Below are 14242 nucleotides of genomic sequence, written 5' to 3'. Positions count from 1 at the left end.
CATGTCACATAAAACATTGATTAAATAAATTTGTTATGTTTCTTCTCTTGTTAACCTGTCTTTTGTTATAGGAGTGACAGCTGTGACTCTTACAGAAGGGGAGAAAAGGGTAACACCTTTTTGACACTACATAGACCTTCAGATTTTGGGGGTAACTTCACATTTTAGGACTCTGGCAAGGCGAATGGTCAAGACTACTTGCTTTAATCCGAGATGTCTTCTTTAGTTTTCTGTTTTAAGGTTAGCCCAGGTTGAACATCCCTAATCCAAAAATCCAAAATCTGAAATGCTCGAAAATCCAAAACTTTTTGAGAGCTGACATAATGCCACAAGTGAGAAATTCCACACCTGAACTCATGTGATGGGGCTCAGTCAAAAAGCAGTCAAAACTTTGTTTAATGTACAACACTAAATATACATACACATACACACACACACACACACACACACACACACATAAATTACCTTCAGGCTATGTGTATAAGTTGTATATAAAACATAACTGAATTTTGTGTTTAGACTTAGGTCCTATCCCCCATGATATCTTATTGCCTATATGAAACATTTCAAAACCCCAAGATATTTCAAAATCTGAGATACTTCTGGTCCCAAGCATTTCAGATAAGAAATACTCAACCTGTATTGATTTTTGACTGAACTCATTGAGAGTCCCATGTTTCAGAAAGCTCTGTTTTAGACAGGGCTGCTGATTGCAATATTAAGAGTTTTCTCTTCTGAAGATGGATAATCTTACAAGCTTCTGAATAAGAACAAGTTTCCTTTCATCCATTTACTTTATTTTTTATTTATTTACTTTTTTATGCTGGCTGCAAATATTTTCTCTGCCAGGAGAAATAGGTAGAATTATTCGAGAGAAAGCTGCTCCTTTGTTTGAAAAACACATTTATCAGCATTTTGGTTATTATGCAAGGGCTGGGTCCAGGATCATACTGGAAGAGTGAGCTAAATCAATGAAGAGATGCATTCCTTTGCGTAATAACACACAGTGCTCTCTTCCTTAGGCAGAGATTTCTAGAATATGTGCATATGAAGAGACTCCTACTTCCCCTTGAAGGTTGAAAGGATAAGTGCTTTGGTGATAAGATTAGATAAGGAACTCTGTTTAGAAAGAGTAGACTATGGGAAAGAGGCCAAAGGCAAGGGAATCTCTTGAATATTAGATGGCCACAGACTACATCACTATGGCTGATTTGCAGTTTTAAGATGTTTCCTATTCTGTGTCCCTTCCATCAACCAAATCTTAAATAAAAACTGCTACACAACAGCTTTGTGTCACTGAAGCAAGAGAGAGTGAACAGGTCAGAGGTGGAGTGCTGATTCCATGATCCTAATAAAAAGGTGTGAAAAGATGACATTTGTTAGAACAGTTGACAAGGAAGCCAATGGTGACTGGTGAGAAGCTGAAGAAGGAGCTTGGAGAGTGAAATGTCAATTGGCAAGAAGAGGTAATCTTTCCCTAAAATCCTCCAAAGTATTGGATTTCTTGTGGTATGAAGGGCTAGAGGCTTGATATTTAATTTGTATGTAAAGGTGAAAGTGACAATTTAGAAGACTGAGGACACAGGGCTGAGGACACAAGTAAAGATTGTCTGGCTCAGTTTCAGTCCTGGTTAAAGTTCACAGCACCTGAAAGGTATTAAGTGCAGGAGGCTTTCCAGGCTCCTTTGTTCTGGGAAGCAGCAGAAAATGATGGAAGGTACCTGGGCTTTCCAGGGCTGGTCCTAAATTCCTGACCTGTCACCTCTAAGCTGGGTGGCCTTGCTGAATTCCACCTGTCTGAGCCTTAGTTGGCTAATGAACATTGAGTAATTCCAAACCCATAGGATACTAATAGGATGATGGGAGGTAACGGTTTAAACTGTCTAGCATACTGTAGGGAGTAAATGAAAGATTCAGTTTCTTCTCTAAGAGGAAATGTTCACATTGTTCAAATCAAAGAAGAGTTGTCATGGGGGAAGTGGGCAGATTTGTTGAACTGACTTCTGTGTGGTGTCAGAGGATGTAACTAGAATTAGTGGGTGGAAATCACAAGTCAATTATAGCTCAGCCAAAAAAAAAATACAGAGCTGTTCAATTGTAGAGCTCAACAGGATGTAAGTTTCCTGTCACTGGAGATAATCAAGCAATGGCTCAGCACCTATTTGGAGGAGATGCTTTAGAGGGGATTTCAACTATCAGTAAAAGTTGAACAGTTTCAACTCTTCAGTCATTTCCAAAGCTGAAATTCCACAATTCTGAGTGTGGTCACTTCCCTTTTGTGGCATGAGTGAAAGACCAACAGTTACTAGTCCTTTTGCAAAGGCTTGTCTCTGCCCAAGGAGAGTGAGCCCAGATGTACTAACTTTTAAAATCCTGACCTTCCTCCTTCAGCATTACTGCTATATATTGCATTAACAGAAATAGCATTGCAATCTCTCCCTAGGCCATGTGTTCTGGGAGATTGTTAGAAAGATTCCCGGCGAAGTTTAGATTGAAGACAAAGATGGGGCCTCATGGACCCCTGCATCTTTTCATGCAAAATAAAATTTGAAAGATCCCTATGATTATTTGCAATGGGGTACTGGCTTTGCCAGTGTTGCTTGTTTGCTTTTCGTTTTTGTTTTGTTTTGAGACAAGGTCTTGCTCTGTTGCCCAGGCTGTAGTGCAGAGGTACGATCACAGCTCACTACAGCCTCGATCCCCCGCAACGTCCCCCCACTGCCTGCTCCCCAGGCTCAAGTGATCTTCCTGCCTCAGCCTCTCTAGTAGCTTGGACTACAGGTGTGCACCACCACATCTGGCTAATTTTTTAATTTTGTTCTGTAGAGATGAGGTCTCACTGTGTTGGCCAGCTGGTCTCAAACTCCTAGGCTCAAGTGACCCTTCCATCTCAGCCTTTCAAAATGTTAAGATTAAACAACTGCATAAGAAAGTTGACAAAGAACACAAACAGACACTTTTCAAAAGAAGACATACATGTGGCCAGCAGTAATTTAAAGAAAAGCTCAATATCACTGATCATCAGAGAAATGCAAATCCAAATCATAGTGAGATACCATCTCACACCAGTCAGAATGGCTATTATTAAAAAGTGAAAAAAACAGATGTCAGCAAGGTTGTGGAGAAAAAGGAACACTTATACACTGCTGGTGGGAGTGTAAATTAGTTTAGCCATTGTGGAAGGCAATATAGCTATTCCTCAAATACCTAAAGACAGAAATACCATTTGACCCAGCAATCCCATCACTGGGTATATACCCAAAGGAATATAAATTATTTTATTATAAGGACACATGCATGCATATATTCATTGCAGCACTGTTAACAATAGCAAGGACATGGAATCAACCTAAATGCCCATCAATGATAGACTGGATAAAGAAAACCTGGTACATATACTTCATGGAATATTATGCAGCCATGAAAAGAACAAAATTATGTCCTTTGCAGGGACATGGAAGGAGCTGGAGGCCATTATCTTTAGCAAACTAACACAGGAACAGAAAACCAAATACCACATGTTCTCACTTATAAGTGGGAACTAAATGATGAGAACACATGGACACATAGAGGGACATAATAACACACATTGGGAACTTTTGAAGGGTGGAGGGTGGGAAGAGGAAGAGTATCAGGAAAAATAACTAATGGGTACTAGGCTTAATACCTGGTTGATGAAATAATCTATACAACAAACCTCCATGACACAAATTTACCTGTGTAACAAACCTGTACTTGTACCTCTGAACTTAAAGTTAAAAAAAGAAAAACAAGAAACAACACAACAAAGTGTTAGAATTACAGGCATGAGCCACTGTGCCTGGCCACCAATGTCTTAATCTTGGTTTTCCCCCAGAAGATAAGACGTTTCTTGGGTGTGAGCCCCAATAGGAGGGTCACTATTTATTATTCCAAATTCTGCATGCTCTGAGCTGGACTATGCCTTTGTCACATGGCTAGTGAAATCTGCCAAATGGGTAATGGGTAAGCACCACAAAGCTAAATGAATTTGATGCCAGACTTGTATGAGTGAAACAGAAAGTTTAACCAACTCTTTGAGGTTGACACATCTTCATATTTGCAGGGAAAGCAGAGCTATGAGTTTCTTGGCAAGATTCAGTCAGATTGAAATCATTCTAAGCACATGATATGAGAACTATTGACAGGAATTCACATGGATACTTACACAGCCATTATTTCCTAATTCTATTACCTAAAAATGTTTAATGCTCCTATGTTATAGTTGGTTACATGACTTTCCCAGGAAGGGATCGTGGAATCTACATGTAAAAACCAAGAGTATCAGAGATCATCTAGGTTTTACATGAAAAGATGTAGTCCAACTGGTTTAGAGAAATTAACAATGGAACTTATTTTATAAAGTCTTATGTGAAGTAACCCTCTGAGTAACATAAGTAAATGTGGAGCTGCTCTGCTGCATGTGAGTGGAAGACTAGACACTTGCAGTTGAGGAACCTAAGACAACCCAATACAGAAGTGACTCATTTAGGGTCATACAATGACAGACTGAAACCGAGGCCTTTTCTTACTTAGCAAGGAAAACATGAAGAAGCTGACAAAAATGAAAAATGAGAGGAAATGCCTAATCTTCAGACTCTCTGGAAACACTGCTCTCCAACTCTGAGAATGCATCACACGCTTCATGATTATGGTCCCCAGCTCTAGGACATCTGCTTTAGGACAAAGTGCAAGGAAATTGAGCTTTAATTGTCAGCTTTGAAATGGTGACTTAGTCAGACTGATAAGAACAGGACAAGGGAAGAACCCTTCTCATAGGAAAGAAAGCAGCAAATTTCCATAATACCAACGACAATCAACAAATATCCTAGCCTGTTCTCTAACTGTGGTCACAATGCCTTGCATTTGCATTGTTCTATAGTTTCCAAAGAACTTTTTACGTACACAGTTTAGTTTAATCTTTACAACTATCTTCATTTTGCAGGAGAAGAAACTGAGGCTTGGAGAAGCTAAGAATGTGGCTGTGCCCAATTAGTTCTTGTTTGATAATTAATTTAGGTGTTATGTAGTAAACAGAAAGAAAGATGTTAGAAATATTTTTTTGTTTGTTTTGAGAAAGGCTGTCACTCTGTCACCCAGGCTATAGTGCAGTGGAGGGACCATGGCTTACTGCAGCCTCAAACTCCTGTGCCCAAGCAATCCTCCTGCCTCAGCCTCCCAAGTAGCTGAGGCTACAGATACATGCCACCACACCCAGCTAATATTCTTATTTTTTGTAGAGATGGGGTCACGCTGTGTTGCCCAGGCTTGTCTTGAACTCTTGACCTCAAGTGACCCTCCTGCCTCAGCCTCCCAAAGTGCTAGGATTACAGGCATGAACCACCATGTCCAGCCTAGAAATCTTTCTACATATATCCAGGGATTTCTCTGGACACATTGGAGGAATGAACTGGCATATAAACCTTCCCAGTATATGAGAGATATTACCTTGACATATTTAGTAAGATTTCTATCTTCCCTTCTATCTCCCACATATCACTCAAAACAGTTATCAAGCCAAAACCACCATAAAAATGTACGCTATATATGATAATATATTAAATATTATATAATATATCTATATTAGAGATGTATATAAATATAAATTAATGTGAAAATATGTACATGTATGAAAATATTAATGTAAAAAAGTATGAAAATTTTACAGTTCAGATAAAAAAGTTCTTTTTTTCCAATTTTATTTTGGATTCAGAGGGTATATGTGCAGGTTTGTTACATGGATATATTTTGTGATGGTGGGGTTTGGCTTACAGATGATCCCATCGCCCAGGTCATCAGCATAATACCCAATAGGTTTTTCAGCCCATGCCCCTCTCCCTCCCTACCTGTTTAGTAGTCCACAGTGCCTATTGTTCCCATCTTTATGTCCATGTGTACTCAATATTCAGCTCCTGCTTATAAATGAGAATACGTGCTATTTGGTTTTCTGTTTATGCATTAATTTGCTTACATAATGGCTTCCAGCTGCATCGACATTGCTGCAGAGGACATGATTTCATTCTTTTTCATGGCTGCATAGTATTCCATGCTATATAGGTATCACATTTTCTTTATCCAATCCACTGTTGATGGGCACCTAATGCAAATCAAGACCACAATGAGATACCATCTCACACTAGTCAGAATGGTAAATAGTTCTCAAATGAAAATAATGTCTTACAGTTTCAGACAAAATAATCAACATATTTATGGTGTTTATGTGTCAGTATTAGAAATTTTTATAATATTCCATAACATTTGGTGACTATTATATGCTAGGTACTATACTAAAGATTTTGTAAATATTAATAATAATTATAACAACAAATCCCATGTTTTCTATATACCAGTTGATATGGTTTGGATCTGTGTCCCCACGCAAATCTCATGTTCAATTCTCATCCCCAATTTTGGAGGTGGGGCCTGGTGGGAGGTGATTGGGTTACGGGGATGGATCCTTCAAGAATGGCTAGCATCATCCCTTTGGTGCTGTTCTAATGATGACAGAGTTCTCATGAGATCTGGTTATTTTAAAGTGTGCAGCACCTCCCCCCCCTCTCTCCCTCCTGCCCCCACCATGTGAGACACCTGCTTTCCCTTCACCTTCCTACCATGACTGTAAGTTTCCTGAGGCCTCCTCAGAAGCAGAAGACACTATGCTTCCTGCCTAACATGCAGAACCGTGAGCCAATTGAACCTCTTTTCTTTACAAATTACTCAGTCTCAGGAATTTCTTTATAGCAGTGCAAGAACAGACTAATACACCAGTTTAGCCTGGCAGTAAATGTGGGGCTATGATTTTAGTCCCTAAACAATCTTGTACACCTACAATCCCCATAAAGTCCTTTACAACTAGTTCTGAGAAGCCTGAGGTGACTTACGTGTGCATCATTTGGGATATTTCATTTCGTTCTTACGAGTTCTTTCTTTTGACTCTGGACTGAGGCAAAACCTTCTATGCTACCATCCGAAATTCCACTGCATATGAGCTATTAAACATGCAGACATCACTCATAGTTGCACACTCAAAGCATCAGAGCTACTTCGTGCAGCCCTTCTTTACATTTGGATAGAATGATGTTCTATGGACCCCAAATTGGAGCTGCCTGGTGCTCCTAAGTAGTCAATGAAATCTTGGTTTCAGACTTTTTGTAAGCATCCATTTTCCTGAGCTTTGGCATGAGTTAAGGCAGCAGGCAGTTCAGAAGTCAATGGGTACAACACTCTGAGAATGAATAGACACTCTCTCTTTTCAAATGCCCCATTTTTTGTGGACCTTTATTACAGGCCTTCACTCTTTCTTTTTCCTTAGAAACCTTCCTTTCTAGCAGGTTGTTTGGCCACCACTGCAATAATCACCTGCTGACCTATCACCATAGATCTTCTAGTCCTCTTCAGACAGATCCCCATCCTAGGATAAACTCAATCTAGCTTTTGAATCAACACTCCCACATCATAGATATCCACTTCTCTCTTTGGGGTGGTGGGGAGCGGGGGGAGAGAGAGAGAGAGAGAGAGAGGGAATTCACAGGTAATAAAATATTAAACTGTTCCATAAAGGCAAGTGAAGAATACAAATGAGGTATTAACTGACTATGGGGCAAATATTTAGGCTCTGAGGTCAAGTTTGCTTTCTCTCTGATCTTGGAAAGTACAAGAAGTATGGGCTGCTCCACATGCCTGAAACAGGTATCAGGCTGTACTGCATTCTCCCAGGTATGAATGCCACTGATGTAGAATCCATTTCCGTAATTCAAATGCTCAGGCCAAAGTCTAATGAGGCAGCCATAGTCCTCGCTGCACTCAGATCTCTCAGAGGCAAGTCCTTAGACTCCTATTGCTCTAATTTGCAGAAGCACTCAGAGGTCCCTCACAGACCTGCTGCCATCAGCCCAGAAGTGCCCGGCAAATGTCTGCAGCATCCTGCTCAGAGGTTTTGCTCTTAGAAAGTAGTGCAGAAACTCCTTAAATGAAGAGAGCCAATGAACGATAGATCACTTTGTATGTCCATTTCACAGAGGAAGACAATATTTCAAGGAAGCAGATGTTTCACATCTACACAGTTTCCACTTAGCCTCTGACCTACCGCTGCGGTAAATCTGGTTACTGCCCAGCTGTCAGCCTCCCAGACAGCATTGCTCTCCAATATCCTTTTAGGAGGAGAAAAAGTACACCACAGGAGAGAGAAGCTGTTTCAGGCAAGGTTTGCTTTTCTCTGTCTCTGTGAACAAGGCAATGCTGATAATGTGAATACGTTGAAGAGGCATGAGAAAGAAAGGGCAGTATCTGTTGCATGCACAGGTGTGATGTGCAGGCCTCTTGAAGCACTATCTTCCTAGTGATCCTTTCTTCTTGGTGCCTCTATAGGAGTAGAAATGGTTGTTTAGGAATTCGTTCTGTGGTTGCTGTCAAAAAATCCCTTTGTTTTTTGTTTGTCTGTTTGTTTTGAGACAGAGTCTTGCTCTGTCACCCAGACTGGACTGCAGTGTCACGATCTCTGCTCACTGCAACCTCTGCTTACTGCGACCTCCACCTCCCAGGTTCAAGTGATTCTCCTGCCTCAACCTCCCAAGTAGCTGGGACTACAGGTGTGCGCCACCACTCCCAGCTCATTTTTGTATTTTTAGTAGAGATGGGGTTTCACCATGTTGGCCATGTTGATCTCGAACTCCTGACCTCAGGTGATCCGCTCGCCTTGGCCTCCCAAAGTGCTGGGATTATAGGGTTGAACCACCGTGCCCAGCCCAATCACTTTGTTTTAATGTGCTGTATGATGTTAAAGTTGGATTTCAATCTTGTCTCTAGCCACCCACAGGCTAAGTGACCTTGTACAATCCATTTAACCCCTCTAAGTTTCCTTTTTATGTGTGTGGTTGAGAAAAATGTATTTATTCTACAAACGTACATGGAGTCCCCACTGTGTACCAGTTTCTATTCTAGTTGCCTGGGGTACAGAAAGGGATAAATGAAGAAGATAAACAAAACACAGTCCTTTCCATCAAGTATTTACTGGATTACTTAATTCTTAAAACTCTCTTCTCTCTTGGCTTATGTGACACCATTTTCTTTCTGTTTGATCAGGCCCTGCCTTTCCCCTGCCCCAATTTCATCTTTTGCTGTACACACCAGTACATGTTTATACTCATACACTCTGTCTCCCTTTCATGCCACTTTCTATATTCTTGCTATACTGAACTATAAGAAATATATGTGGCTGGGTGTGGTGGCTCATGCCTGTAACTCCAGCACTTTGGGAGGCTGAGGCAGCAGATCACCTGAGGTCGGGAGTTCGAGACCAGCCTTACCAACAGGGAGAAACCCTGTCTGTACTAAAAATACAAAATTAGCAGAGCGTGGTGGTGTACGCCTGTAATCCCAGCTACTCGGGAGGCTGAGGCAGGAGAATCGCTTGAACCCGGGAGGCAGAGTTTGCCGTGAGCTGAGATCGTGCCATTTCACTCCAGCCTGGGCAACAAGAGCAAAACTCCATCTCAAGAAAAAAGAAAAGAAAAGAAAAGAAATATATGTATTGTTTAGGGTTCTTGAAATCTTTCTATATATAATCCACAAAAAAAGCCATTTCTTTCACCTTCATAGCATTATCACAGTTATAATTTTTTCTTTAGTTCTGTTCTTAATTAGTGGCTATCTCGCCTGCTTGACTAATACCTGCATATGTACAAAGCTCATGTCTGCTTTTCCTCACCATTCCATCTGCAGAGCCTAGCACAGTGCCCGATGTGAACCAGGCACTTAATATTTGCTAAATAAGTGTATTAATAAAAATCTGGTTTCAACTCCCCTCTTCTCTATTTGTCTTAGGGCTTATATAGTTCAATTGTCTCATTTTACAAATGGGAAAGCTGAGTTACCAAGGGGAAAAAACGTTCTCAAGTTCACACTATATATTAGATGCTGAGTGAGAAGGAAGCACCAGGTTTTCTGACTTCAGGGAAAGAACTTGGGGATCTTTCCATCATGTTCTTTTTTGTCCTGTTGAAAATGGGTAATAATTAAAATAAAACTAAAATACCTTAGGCATTACCAGTTTGTGACTTACCACAAACAAATGTGAAGACTTCTTTTTTATAAACTGAAATTTTGATAATGCAACCCCCTACTAGCTCAGTTTCCAAGAATTAACTCCCTCCCCAGTGTCTCCCATTTATGGTTGGGAGATTCCAAAAAGGGGATTCACATGGCCACCCAAAGGTAAATGTCAGCCAAAACCACAGCTCATCTGCCTCTTCTTTTGCTTCTACCTCTACTCCTCTTGTTCATAGCTGATTTCCATAGCATCAATTGCAGAAATCTTACTGCCTCCACCCAGCATTGTGGGAACGCCAGTTTGGGGTCAAGGCATCCAGTGTTTCCAGTCTGCAGGCTACAAGACTATCACTAATTTCCTGAAGAAGAAAGAGAAACATCTCCTTCCTCCCCCATGCCTTGTATCATCTGTTCTTTGTGCTCAGTCTCATAAAGCTTTGTACAATTCTGGCAGATTCTATCAGTCTCAAACCCTTTTCTCCATAGGAGTCCCAAATGAGCAAGGACCAGTCAGGGACAGCTGATGCCATTGATACTCTGTGTCATCTCCCCCAACACAAGCCACCAACCAAAGTCCAGGAAGATACACTGATGGGGACAGGGCTAGGGGGATGAGAAGTTGTGCCTACACTATTTTAGTCTAAACTCAACCATCAAAAAGGTCCTTTTCATTAGTCACTGGGCTGAGGCAGCCCAGAAGCTCAGACAGCAAAGTGTTCTGCCTTACAACAAAGGCATTTTTACTGCACTCAAAGTGTCCTAAGAAAAGGTACTTCTGTTACTCAAGGGACTGCTTTATATCATTTTGCATCTTTTATTGAATGCAGCCCTTTATGCTTCTCATGGAAAGCTCCTGAAATACATGTTTAATGTTTATAACACATCCTCCTACAGGCTAACTGAATCATTTTTATGCTGTGAACTTTATCAAAATAAACACGTGGTATAATGGTTAATTTTATAATATGTGCCAACTTGACTGAACTAAGGAATACCCAGATAGCTGGTAAAACATTACTTCTGGGTGTGTCTGTGAGGCTGTGATATGTTTTGAAAGAGTTCCCTACAAAATTCAGGTGTTGCCAACGATAGCATTAAGAGGCGGGGCCATAAGGGCTCTACCTACATGAATGGGACTGAGTGCTCTTATGAAACGGTTTGACAGAAGGAGTTCATCCCTTTTTTGCCCTTTGCTTTCTGCCATGTGAGGGCACAACATTCTCCCCTCCAGAGGATGCGGCATTCAAGGAACCACCTTAGAAGCAGAGAGCAGCCTTCAACAGATTGATTCTGGCACCTTGATCCTAAACTTCACAGGCTCAAGAAATGTGAGAACTAGGTTTATGTTATTTATAAATTGCCCAGTCTGTGGAATTCTGCTATAGCATCACACAAGGGACTAAGGCAGGGTGTTTCTGGAAGAGACTAGTATTTGAATTAGCAGACTGAGTAAAGATCTGCCTTCCCCAATAAGGCTGAGTATCATCTGTTCTTTCGAGGGCCTGCATAGGAAAAAAGGGTGGAAGAAAGGTAGGTTCTCTCTCTCTTCTTGGGCTGGGACATCTGTCTTCTCCTGTCCTTGGACATCAGAACTCCTGATTCTAGGGCCTTTGGACTCAGGCTGAGTTTTGTTACTGGCTCTCCTGGTTCTCCAGCTTGCAGACAGCAGATGGTAGAACTTCTTAGCCTCCATAATCACGTGAGCCAATTCCCATCATATTTATGTTATATATATATATATATATATATATATATATATACACACACACACACACACACACATATATATCTTATTGGTTTTGTTTTTCTGAAGAACTCTGTCTAATACACTTTGATAGAAACCATATAGCCAGTCTGAAGGATGGAAATGGAATGGTGCCCTACTTGGCCTCTTGTAGCAAGATCTTGATGGGGAAATAGAGATTCTCTATCTTCTCTCTATTTCTTCATTTCTCCTTTCATTAGGGTTTGGGCTAGGATCTGGGGCTACCAACAAAGATAAGACCTGGCCTGGGCCTTAAGATGCACACATAGTTCAGCTGAGTTAGACACGTAAAAACAGAAACAATGTAGCATCTAGCATGATCTGTGCTGTAAATATGCCAGCCATTAGGGTATCTTAGAGAGAGGTGGCTAGAATCCAGGTATCAGAAGAGCACCAAGTCTATTCCGTAAAGATCTGAAATAAAGAGAGAAGTGCTAAAACAAGAAATTGGATAAAACATGAACAATAGGGACCCGGTAACTGAGTGCAGAACCAGCTAAGCAGGACCAGATGTTAGGCAACAAATGATGTGTATTTGGGTGGAAATAGAACTGATCTAGAAGAAAAGAGAGAGTGTGCACAAGGGTCAGAGCATGTACAGCACAGGTAGGCTCCTGGGGAAAGTTGGACTGACACCGCCAGCAAGCCACGAGACGTGGTTCAGACCCTCTGCTTGAAGGCCCCTCTGTTGACTGGGATTCGGTGTGATACTGCTAATAGTTTTATAATGTCCTAATTATTATTATTATTTTGCACCTTGAAGTGACTTTTTGAAGGTCATATTGAAGCTACAAATAGGCCCCCAGACTCCACAGATTCTCCTGTTGCCTAAGGACTCCCAACACTGCAGATCGAGAAGACGAGGCAAAGAGAGCTACACTGTGAACTACGGATGTGGTGGGGAAGTGGAAACCAAGCCGACATTTGGTGTGTTGTAGCATTCCCAGCTCTGGTTTAACACAAGCGATGTGTTTTGCTCACAAACTGGCACTGAGAGCTCATTTCCATTTAAATAAGAGGCTTGTTAATGCCAGCAGGAGGACGCTGTCAATGCCAAGCCTGGCTAAGGATTCCTGCCAAGGAGTTTCTAAGAGCATCGCTCTAGGAAACTCCCCCAGAAGAGAAGCAAGCATGCCTTCTCATTAAGACAACTCCACCACAGTGACATTTGCCTCAGAGCGGCAAGCCTTTGGCTGGGCTGAAAGCAAGTTGTTGAGTCTTGGAAAGTTGTATGTTGCCAAGACAGTCGTTTAGTTCAATTTGGCTCCACACACACTCAGAGACCACCTGGCACGTGTGAGATGCCCTGGTTGGGAGGATGGCTCATTCCTGCCCTCTGGCACCTCCCAGTCACATTGGGAGGACCGGGTGTTATGAAGAAGCACATACAGAAGATCCTGTTACAACGTAAATAGAGGGCCTTCTCCATTGTCAGATAATTCAGTATTGGAAGATTCTTCCTAACATTAACAGGAAACATGTTTGTCTACAGCAGATATCATGTACTCAAATGCCTACAGATGCCAAGCAAGAAACATGGATGGGTGAAATGGGCTGCTTATAAAAACCTTCAGAAGTGGCTGGGATTTTAGTAACCTAGAGTGAACCTCTCTAGTCTAAAGGGGCAAGCACTGCTCAGCAAGATCTGATCTTGGGTTTTATAAACATGGGTCTTGTCCTACGCAGCTTAAAAATTAATGGGGAAGTCAGATCATTAGACATGAATTTCAACACAGTTTATAAGTTCTCTAACAGGGAAGTAAAAAGTGCTGTAGAAGCACTTGATAGTAGCACATAACCCAAAATTTAGGAGTCATGAAGGAATTGATGTTTAAGTTCAACCTGAGTGATAAGCAGAAGTTGCCTAAATAAAGATGGGTGGGGTGGCCGGGCACATGCCTGTAATCTCAGCACTTTGGGAGGTGGAGGAGGATGGATCACCTGAGGTCAGGAGTTTGAGACCAGCCTGGCCAACATGGTGAAACCCCATCTCTACTAAAAATACAAAAAATTAGCCAGACATGATGGTGCGTGCCTGTAATCCCAGCTACTCAGGAGGCTGAGGCAGGAGAATTGCTTGAACCAAGGAGGCAGAGGTTGCAGTGAGCTGAGATCACGCCATTGCAATCCAGCCTGGGAGACAAGACTATCAAGAAAAAAAAAAAAAAAGATGGGTGGGGAGAGAGGGAAAAGCAAGTGCAAAGGCCCTGAGGCAGGAGAGAGCAAAATAGGTAAACTAGCAGCATTGAGATTAAGTAGAGGAGTGAAAAGATCAGGACTAGTGCTGGTTGAGTCTTCTAAAGGTTCTTATCCCAGTTCTGATAAAGGAAGTAGCAAGGTAGATAAGAGTTCAAGGCCGGGCGGGGTGGCTCACACCTGTAATCCCAGCACTTTGGGAGGCCAAGGCAGGTG

The 14242-nt window shown here is 41.6% G+C and overlaps 1 annotated feature.

Moving 5' to 3' along the window:
- Positions 4553–4847: a silencer, noted in NCBI's record as "tiled region #14211; HepG2 Repressive non-DNase unmatched - State 23:Low". NCBI's record gives its function as "represses a minimal TATA promoter and a strong SV40 promoter by Sharpr-MPRA in HepG2 cells {active_cell/tissue: HepG2}" and the evidence as "EXISTENCE:reporter gene assay evidence [ECO:0000049][PMID:27701403]".

This window comes from Homo sapiens, chromosome 3 (assembly GCF_000001405.40).
Source record: "Homo sapiens chromosome 3, GRCh38.p14 Primary Assembly".
NCBI lineage: Eukaryota > Metazoa > Chordata > Mammalia > Primates > Hominidae > Homo > Homo sapiens.
Note: the sequence above shows the minus strand (reverse complement) of the source record. Positions and strands in the feature narration are given on the sequence as shown.